Genomic DNA, 17,812 nt, shown 5'->3' with positions numbered 1-17,812 from the left:
TGCACTCCCGCCTGGGGGAGAGGGCAATATCCTATCTCACACACACAAAAAAAATTTAAATAGAATTACCATATGATCCAGCAATCTCCCTACTAGATACATAACCAAAGGAAATTATATAATGAACCTGGAGGACAGTATGATAAGGAAATAAGCCAGGCACAGAAAGACAAATATCACATGGTCTCACTTATGTGTGGAATCTAAAAAAGTTGAACTCATAGAAGCAGAGAGTAGAATGGTGGTTACTAGGGGCTGGGGGTGAAGGGGGTTGGAGAGATGTTGGTGAAGGATACAATATTTCAGTTAGGAATAAGTGAGATCTATTGTACAACACAGTGACTATAGTTAAGAGTAATGTACTGTACTCTTTTTTTTTTTTTTAAATAGATACAGGGTCTCCCTGTGTCTTTGGAGTGTAGTGGCGTAATCACGGCTCACTACAGCCTCGGTCTCCTGGGCTCAAGTGATCCTCCTGCCTCAGCTTCCTGAGTAGCTGGGAACACAAGTGTGCACCACCACGCCCAGCTAATTTTTTATTTGTAGAGATGAGTTCTTGCTATGTTGCCCAGCCTGGTCTCAAGCTCCTGGGCTCAAGTGATCTTTCTGCTTTGGCCTCCCAATGTGCTGGGATTACAGCCATGAGCCACCGTGTGCCTGGTGGTGTTGTATTCTTGAAAATTGCTGGTCGGGTGTGGTGGCTCACGCCTGTAATCCTAGCACTTTGGGAGGCCGAGGCGGGAGGACCACTTGAGCCCAAGACTTCAAGACCAGCCTGGACAACATGGAGAAACCCTGTCTCCACAAAAAATACAAAAATTAGCCGGGCATGGTGGCAGGTGCCTGTAGTCCCAGCTACTCAGGAGGATGAAGTGGGAGGATCACCTGAGCCCGGGAGGTCAAGGCTGAGATGAACCCAGATTGCACCACTGCACACCAGCTTGTGCAACAAAGTGAGACCCTGTCTCAAAATAAATAAATTAATTAATTAAATAAAATAAATTACTAAGGGAATAGATTTCAAGTATTCTCACAAAAACATGATAAATATGTGAGGTAATGCATGTTAATTAGCTCAATTTAGCCATTCCACAGTGTATATATATTTCAAAACATTATGTTGTACTATAGATATATATATATATATATATATACACACACAATTTTTGGCCATTTTAAAATTTTAATTAAAAACAAATCGCCAGAATACAATAGAAAATTACACATTATACTAAGAACCAAGAAAATCACAACTTGAATACGAAAAGATAACCAACTCACGCCAACATCAAGATGACTCAGATGTGCTCACTTTGGCAGCACATACGCTAAAACTGGAATGATACAGAGAAGATTAGCATGGCCCCTGTGCAAGGATGACATGCAAATTAAAAAAAAAAATTTTTTGTTTAAAGATGACTCAGATGATGGAATTATCTGACAAGGGTTTTAAAGCAGCCATCATAAAAAGTTTCAGCAATCAACTACAAATTCTACAAATTCTCTTGGAACAAATAAGGAAACAGAAAAATCCCAGCAAATAAATAGAAATTATTAATACAAAAAAATGGAAATATAGAACTGAAAAGTGCAATAACAGAAATAAAAACCACGGCCGGGGGCAGTAGCTCACACCTGTAATCCCAGCATTGGGAGGCCAAGGTGGGGAGCCCAGGTGTTAGAGACTAGCCTGAGGAAAATGGTGAGACCCCATTTCTATTAACAACAACAAAATTAAAAAAAAATTTTTTTAAATCTCACTGGGGCCTGGTGTGGTGGCTCACACCTGTAATCCCAGCACTTTGGCAGGCCGAACTGGGCAGATTACTTGAGGTCAGGAGTTCGAGACCAGCCTGGCCAACATGGTGAAACCCTGTCTCTACTAGAAATACAAAAACTAGCCAGGTGTGGCGGAACATGCCTGTAATTCCAGCTACTTGGGAGGCTGAGGCAGGAGAATCACTTGAACCTGGGAGGCAGAGGTTGCAGTGAGCCAAGACTGCACCATTACACTCCAGCTTGGGCAACAAGAATGAAAATCCGTCTCAAAAAAAAAAAAAATCTCACTGGATGGGCTCAATAGTAGAATGGAGAAGACAGAAGATAGAATCAGTTAACTTTTGAAGACAGATCAGTAAAATTCACCCAATATGAATAAAGGAGTGAAAACTGACAGAAAATATTGAACAGAGCTTCGAAAACCTATGAGACAACAACAAAAGACCCAGTGCATTCGTTCGTTTTCTTTTTCTTTTCTTTCTTTTCTTTTTTTTTTTTTGAGACGGTGTTTCGTTCTTGTTGCCTAGACTGGAGTGCAATGGCGTGATCTCGGCTCACTGCAACCTCTGCCTCCCAGGTTCAAGTGATTCCCCTGCCTCAGCCTCCCAAGTAGCTGGGATTACAGGCATGCGCCATGATGCCTGGCTAATTTTGTATTTTTATTTTTTATTTATTTTTTTATATTTTTATTTATTTATTTATTTTTTGACTCTTGCTCTTTCACCCAGGCTGGAGTGCAGTGGCGTGATCTTGGCTCACTGCAAGCTCTGCCTCCCAGGTTCATGCCATTCTCCTGCCTCAGCCTCCTGAGTAGCTGGGACTACAGGCACCCACCACCATGCCCGGCTAATTTTTTTGTATTTTTAATTTTGTATTTTTAGTAGAGACATGGTTTCTCCATGTTGGTCAGGCTGGTGTCAAACTCCTGACCTCAGGTGATCCACCCGCCTTGGCCTCCCAAAGTGCTGGGATTAAAGGCATGAGTCACCACGCCCAGCCTTATTTGTTCATTTTCACACTGCTGTAAAGAACAACCTGAGACTAGGTAATTTATAAAGAAAAGAGGTGTAATTGACTCACAGTTCCAAATGACTGGGGAAGCCTCAGGAAACTTACAATTCAATCATGGTGGAAGGGGAAGGAGAAGCAAGGCACGTCTTACATGGTGGCAGGAGAGAGAGAGAGCACGCAAAGAGGGGAAGTGCTACACTTTTTAACCATCAGATCTTGTGAGAACTCACTCGTTATCAAGAGAACAGCATGGGGAAAATCTGCCCACATGATCCAATCACCTCCCACTAGGTCCTTCCTCTGAAATGTGAGGATTACAATTCTACATGAAAATTGGATGAGGACACAGAGCCAAACCATATCACCCAGTATTCATACCATGGAAGTCCCACAACAAAAGAAAGGCAATGAGGCCAAAAGAGAATTTGAAGAAATAATGAATGAAATGTCCCAAATTTGGCAAAGGACACAAACCTACAAATCCAAGAAGCAGAGGGAATCTCAAAGAGGATAAACTCAAAGAAGTCCATGTCTAGATATATTATAATAAAACTTTTGCCGGGCGTGGTGGCTCATGCCTGTAATCCCAGCACTTTGGGAGGCTGAGGTGGGCGGATCACCTGAGGTCGGGAGTTCAAGACCAGCCTGACCAATGTGGTGAAACCCTGTCTATACAAAAAATGCAAAATTATCCAGGTGTGGTGGTGCATGCCTGTAATCCCAGCTACTCGGGAGGCTGAGGCAGGAGAATCGCTTGAACCTGGGAGGCAGAGGTTGCGGTGAGCCAAGATGATGCCACTGCACTCCAGCCTAGGCAATGAGAACGAAACGCCATCTCAAAAAACAAAAACAAACAAACAAAAAAAAAACTTTTGAAAGCTAAAGAAAATGAAAATAACATGAAAGCAGCCAGAGAGAAACAAGCATTACTCATAGCAGAACATCAATTTAAATGTCAGCATTCTTCCTTTCCTGAGCAGGAAAAAAAAGGAAAAAAAAAGACAGGAGATTTCTCATCTGGAGGTCAGGAGGAAGTAGCATAACATTTTTCAAAGTGCTGGAAAGAAAAGAGCTGTCAACTACAAATTCTATATCTGGTGAAACTGTCAGGTAAAAAGGGAAATAAAGACATAGACAGGAAAACTTAATAATCTGTTGCTAGCAGGCCTACCCTTAACAACTGACTAAGGAAGTTCTTCAAAAAAAAAAAAAAGAAAAGAAAAGAAAAAGAAAATGAGAAAAGAAAGATTCAGCTAGGTGCAGTGGCTCACACCTGTAATCCCAGCACTTTGGGAGGCTGAGGCTGAAGGATTGCTTGAGGATAGGAGTTTGAGACTAGCTTGAGCAACATAGCAAGACCCCCATCTCTACAAAAAAATTCAAAATTAGCTAGGCATGGTGGTGCACTCCTGTAGTCTCAGTAACTCCAGAGGCTGAGGCAGGAGGACCACCTGGGCCCAGGAGTTCAAGGTTACAGAGAATTATAATGGCACCACTGCACTCTAGCCTGGACAACAGAGTGAGACCCTGTCTCAAAAAAAAGAAAAAGAAAAAGAAAAAGAAACAAACAAACAAAGGAAAAGAAGAAAAATTCTTGGAGCATCAGGAAGGAAAAACGCTCAATGAAAAGAGCAGAAATACGAGTGCATAAAATAGACTCTCCTTTGCCTCATGAGTTTTATATACCATATTTGATGATTGAAACAAAAATTATAATACCATTTGATACTAAAGCAATGATATTTAAAAGTGGGTTAGGTAAAGAACCTAAATGAAAGTGAGGTTTCCACATTTCACAGAAAGTGAGAAATTATTAGTACCTATAGGTTTAAAATATGAGGCCAGGTGTGGTGGCTCACGCCTGTAATCCCAGCACTTTGGGAGGCTGAGGTGGGTGGAACACTTGAGCTCAGGAGTTCAAGACCACCTTGACCAACATGATGAAACCCCATCTCTACTAAAAATACAAAAATTAGCTGGGCGTGGTGGTGCATGCCTGTAATCCCAGCTACTTGGGAGGCTGAGGCAGGAGAATTGCTTGAACCCAGGAGGCGGAGGTAGCAGTGAGCCGAGATTGCACCACTGCACTCCAGCCTGGGAGACAGAGTGAGATTCTGTCTCAAAAAACAAAAAAGGAAGAAACAAACAAATATATATATATATATATTCTGAATTCATACAAAACTCATACAGTAAATCTTAATCTCCAGAGCAATAGTATTAAGAGTTGGGCCTGTAGGAGGTGAATAGATTATAAAGGCTCTGCACTCATAAGTAGGATTTAGTGATGTGACCTTATGAAAGAGGCCTGAAGGAGCTTGTTGTCCCCTTCTGCCATGCGAGAAGACATAGAAGGCACCATCCATGAGGAATGAGTCCTCATTAGACACTGAATCTGCCGCCTCCTTGATCTTGGATTTCCCAGCCTCCAGAATTGTAAGCAGTACATTTCTGTTGTTTACAAATTACCCAGTCTATGATATTTTGAGAGAGCAGCCTAAACAAAGGAAGACAATAGGTGTTTCTTATTCAGATGCCATAAGGCCAACAGGTCAGTAGATAACTGCCATTGAAAAGATAGTTTGGCTGGTCACGGTGGCTCACACCTGTAATCACAGCACTTTGGGATGCCAAGGTGGGCAAATTGCTTGAGCCCAGGAGTTCAAGACCAGCCTGAGCAACATGGTGAAACCCCCACATCTACCAAAAAAAAAAAAAAATACAAAAATTAGCCAGGCATGGTGGCATGCACCTATAGTCTCAGCTACTCAGGAAGCTGAGGTGGGAGGATCACTTGAGCCCAGTAGGTGGAGGATGCAGTGAGCGGGAATTGCGCCACTGCACTCCAGCCTGGGAGACAGAGCCAGACCCTTAGAAAGAAGGAAAGAAGAAAGAAGGAAGGAAGGAAGGAAGGAAGGAAGGAAGGAAGGAAGGAAGGAAAGAAGGGAGGGAGGGAGGGAAAAAAGAAAGAGAGAGAGAGAAGGAAGGAAGGAAAGGAAGGAAGGAAAGAAAGAAAGAGAGAAAGAAAGAAAGAAAGGAAGGGAAAAAGAGAAAGAAGGAAAGAAAAAAGAAGGAAGAGTGGGGAGGGAAGGAAGGAAGGGAGGGAAGGGAGGGAAGGGAGGGAAGGAATCCTGGCTAACACGGTGAAACCCCGTCTCTACTAAAAATACAAAAAATTAGCTGGGCATGGTGGCAGGCGCCTGTAATCCCAGATACTCAGGAGTCTGAGGCAGGATAATCGCTTGAACCCCAGAGGCAGAGGTGGCAGTGAGCCAAGATCACGCCATTGCACTCCAGTCTGGGCACAAGAACGAAACTCCATCTCCACAAAAAAAAAAAAAGAGAGAGAGACACCAGGCCAGGCACGGCGGCTCATGCCTGTGATCCCAGCACTTTGGGAGGCCAAGGCAGGTGGATCACTTGAGGTCAGAAGTTCAAGACCAGCCTGGCCAACATGGTGAAACCCTGTCTCTACTAAAAAGTACAAAAAATTAGCTGGGCGTGGTGGCACACACTTGTAATCCCTACTAGAGAGGCTGAGGCGGGAGAACTGCTTGAACCTGGGAGGCACAAGTTGTAGTAAGCTGAGATCATGTCACTGCACTCCAGCCGGGGCAATAGAGTGAGACCCTGCCTCAAAAAAAAAAAAAAAAAGAAAGAAAAAAGGCCAGGCATGGTGGCTCACGCCTGTAATCCCAGCACTTTGGGAGGCCGAGGCGGGTGGATCGCAAGGTCAGGAGTTCAAGAATAACCTGGCAAACATGGTGAAACCTCATCTCTACTAAAAATACAAAAAATCAGCCAGACGTAGTGTCACATGCCTGTAATCCTAGCTACTCAGGAGGCTGAGGCAGGAGAATTGCTTGAACCCGGGAGGTGGAGGTTGCAGCGAGCTGAGATCGCACCACTGCACTCCAGCTGGGGCGACAGTGCAAGACTCTGTTTCAAAAAAAAAAAGACACCATAACATGCATCTCCATCTCTCTGTCTCTGGCAATGCAGGGTAAGAAGGTTTAGGATTAGCTTGTTTGAATAATTTCAGCATATGGGGCATAGAGACAGTTTCTAGTTGCCTGCCCCTGGCATGGTTAGGACAGAGGGATAGTGGCCAAGAATGTGACAGCCCCATAGAAGAGATGGTTGGGGTTACAGACTCTGGATTGGCTGGTTTGCATTTGAAAGGTACACCCAGGGACAAGTTGCCTACTATCTCTAGGAATTGGTGAAGCCTGGAAGGGACAGCTCCTCCATAGTCAGCAAAGCTCCAGATGGTAAAGGATCAGAAAACAGAAAGTAAAAGACACGGTTAATAGCAGGAAGATTACCACTATTTAAAAAAAAAAAAAAAGACACCGTTATTGACACAGTAGACTGAGCTGGGAGTGGTGGCTCACGCCTGTAAACCTTGCATTTTGGGAGGCTGAGACGGGTGGATTGCCTGAGGTCAGGAGTTCGAGACCAGCCTGGCCAACATAATGAAACCCTGTCTCTACTAAAAATACAAAAAATTAGCTGGGCGTGGTGGCGGGCGCCTGTAATCCCAGCTACTAAGGAGGCTGAGGCAGGAGAATCACTTAAACCCGGGGAGGCGGAGGTTGCATGAGCCGAGATCGCTCCATTGCACTCCAGCCTGGGGAACAAGAGCAAAACTCCTTCTAAAAAAAAAAAAAAAACACAGTAGACTGTGACAAGAGACTAAGAGACACATGCGTATTTTAATACCCAGAACAATCACTATGAAAACTATGCAAGGAAGAAGATACACTCGAAAACATTAAATAAATCAAAATAGAATTCTAAAAAGTATTCAAGTAACCCACAGTAAGACAAGAAAAACAAAGGACCAAGAACCAAAGAAAACAAACAGAAAACAAATAATAAAATGAAAAACACAAGTGTTGACATAGCAATAACTGCCTCAAATGTAAATGGTCTAAACATGCCAATTCAAAGACAGACATTTAGCCGGGCTGGGTGGCTCATACCTGTAATCTCAGCACTTTGGGAGGCTGAGGCAAGAGGATTGCTTGTGTCCAGGAGTTCAAGACCAGCCCAGATAACATAGCCAGACCTCATCTCTACAAAAAAATCAAAAAATTAGCCGGGTGTGGTGGTGCATACCTGTGGTCCCAGCTACTCAGGTGGCTGAGGTGGGAGGATCATTTGAGCCCAGGAGGTCGAAGCAGCAGTGAGCCATAATCACATCACGGCACTCCAGCCTGGGCAACAGAGCAAGACCTTGCCTCAAAAAAGAAAAAAAAAAAAAAAAAAGCTATACCATGCAAATATTAATGAAAAATAATGAAGTGGCTTTATTAAAACCTGATAAGGTAGACTTCAGAGAAAAGAAAATTACTAGAGAAAAAGAGAAATATTGCATAATGATAGAAGTACCAATCAATCCACCAGCAAATCATAAATATCCTAATTATTTATGCACTAAACAACAGAGCCTCAAAATACATTAAGCAAAAAATGATAGAGCTAAAAGGAGAAATTCTTATATCCACAATTATAGTTGGAAACATCAATACCCACTGCTCCCCATCTTATATAACTACTAGACATAAATCAGCAAGGTTATAGAAGATGTTCAAAACACAATCAGGTTGAGCTCATGCCTGTAATCCCAGCACTTTTGGAGGCCAAGGTGGGAGGATCCCTTGAGGTCAGGAGTTTGACCATCCTGGTCAACATAGTAAGACCCTGTCTCTACAGAAAAATTAAAAAATTAGCTGGGTGTGGTGGTGCACACCTGTAGTCCCAGCTACTCAGGAGGCTGAGGTGGGAGGATCACTTGAGTCTGGGAGGTCGAGGCTGCAGCAAGCCAGATTTCGCCACTGCACTCCAGCCTGGGCGACAAAGTGAGACCCTGACTCAAATAAAAAAAAAAAAAGCATAAATAAACTGGTAATTCAAAAAGTTCGCTCATGCCTGTAATCCCAGCACTTTGGGAGGCCAACATGAGCAGATCACCTGAGGTCAGGAGTTCAAGACCAGCCTGACCAACATGGTGAAACCCCGTCTCTACTAAAAATACAAAAATTAGCTGGGCATGGTGGCGGGCACCTGTAATCTCAGCTACTTGGAAGGCTGAGGCAGAAGAATCATTTGAACCTGGGAGGCGGAGGTTGCAGTGAGCCGAGATTGCGCCACTGCACTCCAGCCTGGGCGACTGAGTAAGACTCTGTCTCAAAAAAAAAAAAAGTTCAATAAAATTTATAATCCTCTAGGAAGACTGACAAATATTAAAAGACACAAATCACAAATATCAGAAATAAAATAGGGCTTATCATTGCTGATTCTGAAGACATTACAAAGATAATAAGAGAATAATACTACAAAACACGTTCTGCTCATAAACTTGATAACTTAGACAAAATGGACCAATTCCTCAGATATCCCAAACTACCAAAACTTAACTAAGATGAAGTAAATAATCTGAATGACCATTAAATAAATTTAAATGAATTTATAATTTAAAAGCTCAAAGAAATGAAATCTCCAAATCTAGATGGTTTCACTGGAGATTTCTACCAAACATTTAAAGAAGAATTAACAGCACTTTTACGTAATCACTTATAGAAAACAGAAGAGAACATTTCTCAACTCCTTTTATGACATTAGAATTACCCCGAGACAAAAACAGGCAATGCCAACTTTTTTTTTTTTTTTGAGATGGAGTTGCGCTCTGTCGCCCAGGCTGGAGTGCAATGGCAAGATCTTGGCTCATTGCAACCTCCGCCTCCCCAGTTCAAGCAATTCTCCTGCCTCAGCCTTCCGAGTAACTGGGACTACAGGTACCTGCCACCACACCCGGCTAATTTTTGTATTTTTAGCAGAGACGGGGTTTCACCATGTTGGTCAGGCTGGTCTCAAGCTCCTGACCTTGTGATCCACCTGCCTCAGCCTCCCAAAGTGCTGGGATTACAGGCATGAGCCACTGCACTCAGCCAATGCCAACATTAAACAATAAATCTGGCCGGGAGCGGTGACTCACACCTGTAATCCCGGTAGTTTGGGAGGCTGAGGTGGGCAGATCACCTGAGGTCGGGAGTTCGAGACCAGCCTGACCAATATGGTGAAACCCCGTCTCTACTAAAAATACAAAAATTAGTTGGGCGTGGTGGTGCACACCTGTAATCCCAGCTACTCGGGAGGCTGAGGCAGGAGAATCACTTCAAACCCGGGAGGTGGACATTGCAGTGAGCCGAGATCGCGCCACTGCACTCCAGCCCGGGTGATAGAGCGAGACTTCATCTAAAAAAAGAAAAAAAGAAAGAGAGAGAGAGAGAGAGAAAGAAAGAAAGAAAGAAAGAAAGAAAGAAAGAAAGAAAGAAAGAAAGAAAGAAAGAAAGAAATCTGCAAACCAATATCCTTTATGAACCCAGACACAAAAATCCTCAACAAAATATTAGCAAACCAAATACAACAATGTATTAAAAGAGCTATAAACCATGACCAAGTGAGATTAATTCAAGATATGCAATATTGGTTTAATATTGCATATTGGTTCAATATTGACAATCAATCAATATCATCCACCATATTAACAACCTAAGAAGAAAAATTATACAATCACATTAGTAGATGTAGAGAAGACATCTGAAAAAATCCAACACAAATTCTTGTTTTTTAAAAAATAGTCTCAGCAGCTGGGCGCAGTGGCTCATGCCTGTAATCCCAGCACTTTGTAAGGCCAAAGTGGGTGGATCACCTGAGGTCAGGAGTTCGAGACCAGCCTGACCAATGTGGTGAAACCCCGTCTCTACTAAAAATACAAAAATTAGCCAGGTGTGGTGGTGGGCACCTGTAGTCCCAGCTACTCAGGAGGCTGAGACAGGAGAATTGCTCAAACCCAGGAGGCGGAGGTTGCAGTGAGCTGAGATTGAGCCACTGCACTCCAGTCTGGGTGACAGAGCGAGACTCCATCTCAAAAAAAAAAAAAAAAAAAAGTCTCAGCAAGTTAGAAATAGAGGAGAATGCCCTCAACTTGATAAAGAGCATCTACAAAAAACCTACAGCTAACATCACATTATTGGTGAAAGACTGAATTATTCCCCCTAAGATAGGGAGCAAAAATGTCTTCTCTCACCATTCTTTTTCTTTTCTTCTTTTTTTTATTTTTTATTTTTATTATTATTTATTATTATTATTATTTTTTGACAGGGTCTCACTCTGTCACCTAGGCTGGAATGCAGTGGCGAGATTATAGTTCACTGCAGTCTTGACCTCTCAAGCTCAAGCGATCCTCCCACCTCAGCCTTCCCAAGTAGCTGGGGCCACAGGTGTGTGCCACCATGCCCAGCTGATTTTTGTGTTTTTTGTAGGGACAGGGTTTCACCATATTGCCCAGGCTGGTCTCCAACTCCTGGACTCAAGTGATCCTCCTCCTTGGCCTCCCAAAGTGCTGGGATTACAGGCATGAGCCATCACACCCGGCCTTCTCTCACCATTCTTATTCAACATAGTACTAAAAGTTCTAGTCACCATAACACAAGGAAGGTAATACAAGCATACCAATTGTAAAGGGAAAAATAAAACTGTCCCTATTTGTAAATGATATGATTATCTATGTAAAATATCCCAAGAAATCTACAGAAAAAAAAAAAGCCGACTAGAATTCATCAGGGAGCTCAGTGAGATTGCTGAATACAAGATCAACAAGCAAAAACAAGAAAGAGCTGGGTGTGGTGGCTTGCACCTGTAATCCTGGCTATTCCAGAGGCTAAGGCAGGAGGCTTGCTTGAGGCCAGGAGTTTGAGACCAGCCTGGGCAACATAGCAAGACCCCATCTTTACTGAAACAGAGTTGGCCAAGGATGGTGGCATGCATCTGTCGTCCCAGCTACGTGGGAGGGTCCCTTGAGCCCAGGAGTTCAAAGTTGCAGTAAGCTATGACTGTGTCACTGTACTCCAGCCTGGGTAACAGAGGGAGACCCCATCTCTAAAAAAAAAAAGATCAACAAGCAAAACAATCACACTGTATACTAACAATAAACATATAGAAACTGACATTTAAAATACAATACAACTTACAATTAGTCCTAAGAAAAGGAAATATGTGGGTGTACACCTAACAAAACTTACACAGGATCTATATGATGAAATTACGAAATCCTGATAAAATAAAAAAAGACTAAATAAATGGAGAGGCATGCTGTGTTCATGGATTGGAAAGCTCAACACAGTAAATATGCCCATTTTCAGGCTGGGCATGGTGGCTCACGCCTGTAATCCCAGCACTTTGGGAGGCCAAGGTGGCTGGAACTCCTGAGCTCAGGAGTTCAAGACCAGCCTGGAAAACATGGCAAAACCCCATCTCTACCAAAAAAAAAAAAATTAGCTAGGCATGGTGGCACATGCCTGTAGTCCCAGCTACTCAGAGGCTGAGGTGGGATGATTACTTGAGCCTGGGAGGTGGAGGCAGTGAATCGAGATTGCCCCACTACACTCCAACCCAGGTGACAGAGTGAGACCCCATCTCAAAAAAAAATGCCCATTTTCCCCAAAATTGGTACCTAAGTTTAATGCAATTCCTATCAAAATCCCAACAAAGATTTTTCACAGACATAGACAATAATTGTTTCAAATTAATACGGAATGACAAAGGAACTAGAATAGCTAAGGCAATTTTGAGATAGAAGAACAAAGTAGAAGGAATCATTCTATTCAGTATTAAAGCTTACGATATAGCCACATTAATCATGACAGTGCGGTATTGGTGGAGGAATTGGCACATAAATCAATGAAACAGAATAGAAAACCCAGAAGAAGCCCCACACAAGTATGGTTACAAAAGCAATATAATGGAGAAGGATAGACTTTTCAACAACTGGTGCTGGAGCAAGTGGAGATCCATAGGGAAAAACTGAGCCTCAAACTCAGTCACATCTTACACGAAAGTTAGTGCAAAATGTAAAACTATAAAACTTGTAGGAAAAAGGCATAGGAAAAAATTTTTTGGAATTTTGAGATGGGCAGAGTTCTTGGTTTTTGTTTTGAGATGGAGTTTTGCTATTGTCACCCAGGCTGGAGTGCAGTGGTGCAATCTTGGCTCACTGCAACCTCCGCCTCCCAGGTTCAAGCGATTCTCCTGCCTCAGCCTCCCGAGTAGCTGGGACTACAGGCGTACAACACCCCGCCCAGCTAATTTTTGTATTTTTAATAGAGACGAGGTTTCACCATGTTGGCCCAGCTGGTCTCGAACTCCTGATCTCAAGTGATCTGCCCGCCTCGGCCTCCCAAAGTGCTGGGATTACAGGCATGAGCCACCGCACCCAGCGGAGATGGGCAGAGTTCTTTTTTTTTTTTTTTTTGAGACGGAGTCTTGCTCTGTCGCCAGGCTGGAGTGCAGTGGCACGATCTCGGCTCGCTGCAACCACCGCCTCCTGGGTTCAAGCCATTCTCCTGCCTCAGCCTCCCGAGTAGCTGGGACTACAGACACGCGCCACCACGCCCAGCTAATTTTTTCTATTTTTATTAGAGACGGTGTTTCACCATGTTGGCCAGGATGGTCTTGATCTCTTGACCTCATGATCCACCCGCCTCAGCTTCCCAAAGTGCTGGGATTACAGGCATGAGCCACTGCGCCCGGCCCAGAGTTCTTAAACTTGACACCAAAAGCATGATCTATTAAAGGAAAACTTGATCAACTGTCCCTCATCAAAAATGTAAAACTTTTATTCTATAAAATCTCATGTGAAGATGGAAGGTGAAAAGACAAGTTACAGACCGGGAGAAAATATTGGCAAACTATACATCTTACAAAGCCATTACAAAGATAATAAGGAAATAATGCTATAAAACCCATTAGGCTCATAAACGTGTTTTGAGATATATACTTTGTGAGATATATTGCATAGATCTAATCACAGATATAGACATACAAATTTTAAAATGCCTATCATTTACCTGAACAAACTGTATTGGCAAACTATATATCTCACAAAGGACCACTTTCCAGAATATTTAAGGAACTCTCAAAACTCAGTCGGATAAAAACAAATAATCCAATTGGAAAATGGCCAAAAGACATGAAGAGATATTTCACTAAAGAGGGTATACAGGTGGCAAATAAGTACATGAAAAGATGTTCAACATCACTGGCCATTAGTGAAATACAAATTTTGACTACAATGAGATATCAGTATACATATACTGGAGCACCTGAAATAAAATATAGTGACACCAAATGGTGTCTAGGATATGGAGAAACTTGATCATTCTTAGATTGCTAGTGCTAATGCAGAAAGGTACAACCGCCCTGGAAAATGGTTTGGTAAGTTTCTTATAAAATTAAACATACAATGTAGCAGTTGCATTCTTGGGCATTTATCCTAGAGAAATGAAAATTGGCCAGGCGAGGTGGGTCATGCCTGTAATCCCAGCACTTTGGGAGGTTGAAGCAGGCAGATCACTTGAGCCCAGGAGTTCAAGACCAGCCTGGGCAGCACGTGAAACCCCGCCTCTACAAAAAAACTAAAAAATTAGCCAGGCATCGTGGCACGTGCCTGTGGTCCCAGCTACTCAGGAGGCTGAGGTGGGAGGATTGCTTGAGCCCAGGAGGTCAAGGATGCAGTAAGCCATGATGGAGCCACTCCTGTCACTCACTGCCCCAACGCTGCATACCTAACCCCACAGAGTCCATCACTCAGCCTACAGGATGCCAGAACCCCCAGCACTCAGGCCACAGACTTCCCCATCATTGTATTCATAGACTATATCATTACTTACCAAACAGACCCCACCACTCACCCCACAAACCCCCTTCAGGTCTCTCAGAGTCATAAGGACTTTCCTTATTTCTGGTACCTCAGTGTTAGCGTGGCTTTGTCGGTGGGTGGCTTCTAGGTGATGGGTGCCATCTCAGGTGGTTTCCATTTGGTACAACAGAAGCACACCCTCTGCCAACATGGTGAGGGGTAATCTGTTATACAGCAATACATGAGTAGGATACACACACACACCACATACACACACACACACACACTACACATACATATATATAAGGAAATGCAATCACAGATGCAGAAGGATATAAGGTCAATACTACATGTAACCAGGCAGTGGTTCATACTTGTAATCCCACCACTTTGGGAGGCTGAGGTGGGCAGGTTGCTTGAGCCCAGGAGTTCCAGACCAGCCTGGACAATATAGGGAGAACCCTGTCTCTACAAAAAATACAAAAACTAGTTGAGCTGGTACTCAGGAGGCTGAGGTGGGAGGATTGCTTGAGCTGGGGAGGTGAACGCTGTAATGAGCGGAAATTGCGCCACTACACTCCAGCCTGGGTGACACAATGGGACCCTATCTCAAAAGTAAATAAGAAGGGCCAGGCGCAGTGGCTCACACCTGTAATCTCAGCACTTTGGGAGGCTGAGGCAGGTGGATCACCTGAGGGCCAGGAGTTCGAGACCAGCCTGACCAACATGGTGAAACTCCGTCTCTACTAAAAATACAAAAATAGGGCTGGGCGCAGTGGTTCAAGCCTGTAATCCCAGCACTTTGGGAGGTCGAGACAGGCGAATCACGAGGTCAGGAATTTGAGACCAGCCTGGCCAACATGGTGAAACCCCGTCTCTACTAAAAATACAAAAAATTAGCCAGACGCGGTGGCAGGCGCCTGTAATCCCAGCTACCTGGGAGGCTGAAGCAGGAGAATCGCTTGAACCCGGGAGGCAGAGGTTGCAGTGAGCCGAGATCGCGCCACTGCACTCCAGCCCGGGTGACAGAGTGAGACTCTGTCTAAAAAAATAAAATAAAATAAAATTAGCCAGGCATGGTGGTGCATGCCTGTAATCCCAGCTACTTGGGAGGCTGAGGCAGGAGAATTGCTTGAACCCAGGAGGCAGAGGTTGCAGTAAGCTGAGATCACACCATTGCACTTCAGCCTTTTAAAAAGTTCTTATTATGGAAACTTAAAGCACATGAACCAAAGGTAATAAAAAGTATAACGAACTGGCTTGTAACTGTTACAAGTTTCAATAATTTTTATGAAAATGATCTTAAAATCCAACATATATCACGTATGTGTATAGACTTTTTATATCTCTATAATTGACTTTATGTGTTTTTAGAGTTTTATGTCTTTGAGTTCTCCAGACGTCACATTGTGAGACACAGTTCCAACACTCCAACCTCTGTCTACCCAACTCCATGCCCAACTCCACGCCCAACCCCACCTCACCCCACCCCTGGCTGCCACCTGCACTGCCCCCACACCTGAGCCCCACTTGCTGGAGAAGCTGCGCCTTGGGAGGCGTCACTGCGGACAGACGGACAGCCCCCAAGCACCCGAAGGAGCAAGACCCTCAAGGCCACCAAGGCCATATTGGCTGTGGACAAACTGAGACTTCACAGCTGCTAAGGAGGATGCGAAAGGCAGCAATTATATAAGCCAGGAGTGAGAGACGGGGCCAGATGTAAGGCAGAAGGGGTCTTTGGACAGCGAATCACCTAGACACTGGCTTGTGTCAGGAATGACGACTTCGCTCAGGTATAGGGGCAGGGGAAAGCCAAGTTGTGTCTATCTATGGGGTCACTAATAGAGAGTCTGCGGGGTGAGGAATGATGGGCGACTGGGGTGAGTGAGTGGGTGTGTCAGTTCCGTGTTTTGAAAAGCTTATTTCCTGAATTATTTTCCTGCGTTATATTACAAATGATATGTTGAGATATGGCTTTCTTTTCTTTTCCTTTATTTATTTAGGTGAGACAGGGTCTCGCTCTGTCGCCCAGGCTGCAATGCAGTGATGTAATCTCAGCTCACTGCAACTTCTGCCTCCCGGGTTCAAGCAATTCTCCTGCCTCAGGAGAACCATTTTTAAAATTTTTTAATTTTTATTTTTTTTGAGACGAAGTATTACTCTTGTTGCCCAGGCTGAAGTGCAGTGGCACGATCTCGGCTCACTGCAACCTCTGCCTCCCGGGTTCAAGCAATTCTCCTGCCTCAGCCTCCTGAGTAGCTGGGATTACAGGCACCTGCCACCACACACACTCAGCTAATTTTTTGTATTTTTAGTAGAGATGGAGTTTCATCATGTTGGCCAGGTTGGTCTCGAACTCCTGATCTCAGGTGATCCACCCTCCTCGGCCTCCCAAAGTACAGGGATTACAGGAGTGAGCCACAGCGCCTGGCCTTTTTTTTTTTTTTTTTTTTTAGACGTAGTCTCACTTTGTCGCCCAGGCTGGAGTGCAGTGGCACAATCTCAGCTCACTGCAACCTCCCCCTCCTGGGTTCAAGCGATTCCATGTTTCAGCCTCCCATGTAGCTGGAACCACAGGCACACCACCATGGCCAGCTAATTTTTTTTTTCATTTTTTGTACTTTTAGTAGAGACAGGTTTTGCCATGTTGGCAGGGCTGGTCTTGAACTCCTGGCCTCAAGTGATCCACCCACCTTGGCCTCTCAAAGTGCTGAGATTACAGGCATGAGCCACTGCACCCAGCCTCTTCGAAAAAATTTTTAAAATTAGCTGGGCTTGGTGTCAAGCACCTGTAGTCCCAGCTGCTCACCAGGCTGAGGTGGGAGGATCGCTTGAACCCAGGATGTTGAGGCCACAGTGAACCATCATTGCACCACTGCTCTCCAGCCTGGAGACAGAGCTAGACCCTGTCTCAAACAAACATTAAAAAATAAAATTTGGCCGGGAGCGGTGGCTCACGCCTGTAATCCCAGCACTTTGGGAGGCTGAGGGGGGCGGATCACCAAGTCAATAGTTCGAGACCAGTCTGGCCAACATAGTGAAACCCTGCCTCTACTAAAAATACAAAAAATTAGCTGGGTGTGGTGGTGTGCACCTGTAATCCCAACTACTCGGGAGGCTGAGGCAGGAGAATTGCTTGAACCCAGGAGGCGGAGGTTGCAGTGAACCGAGATTGCACCATTGCATTCCAGCCCGGGTGACAGTGGGAGACTCTGTCTCAAAAACAAACAAACAAAAAGCAATAATAATAATAATAAGTACAATTCAACTACTATTCCTACTGTATTAACACCTTTTTTTTTCTCCCGACCTCAGGTG

General features: G+C 44.1%; 1 non-coding gene across 1 annotated transcript; it reads left to right on the top strand.

Annotated features, from left to right (window-relative positions):
• Window positions 1-1,304: 1,304 nt before the first annotated feature.
• On the top strand, window positions 1,305-1,411 carry LOC124905264 (U6 spliceosomal RNA). The gene has a single exon (XR_007068418.1). It is a non-coding gene; the product is annotated as a U6 spliceosomal RNA (small nuclear RNA).
• Window positions 1,412-17,812: the final 16,401 nt, after the last annotated feature.

This window comes from Homo sapiens, chromosome X (assembly GCF_000001405.40).
Source record: "Homo sapiens chromosome X, GRCh38.p14 Primary Assembly".
Lineage (NCBI taxonomy): Eukaryota > Metazoa > Chordata > Mammalia > Primates > Hominidae > Homo > Homo sapiens.
The sequence above is the reverse complement of the archived record's forward strand: the minus strand, read 5'-3'. Positions and strand labels throughout refer to the sequence as shown.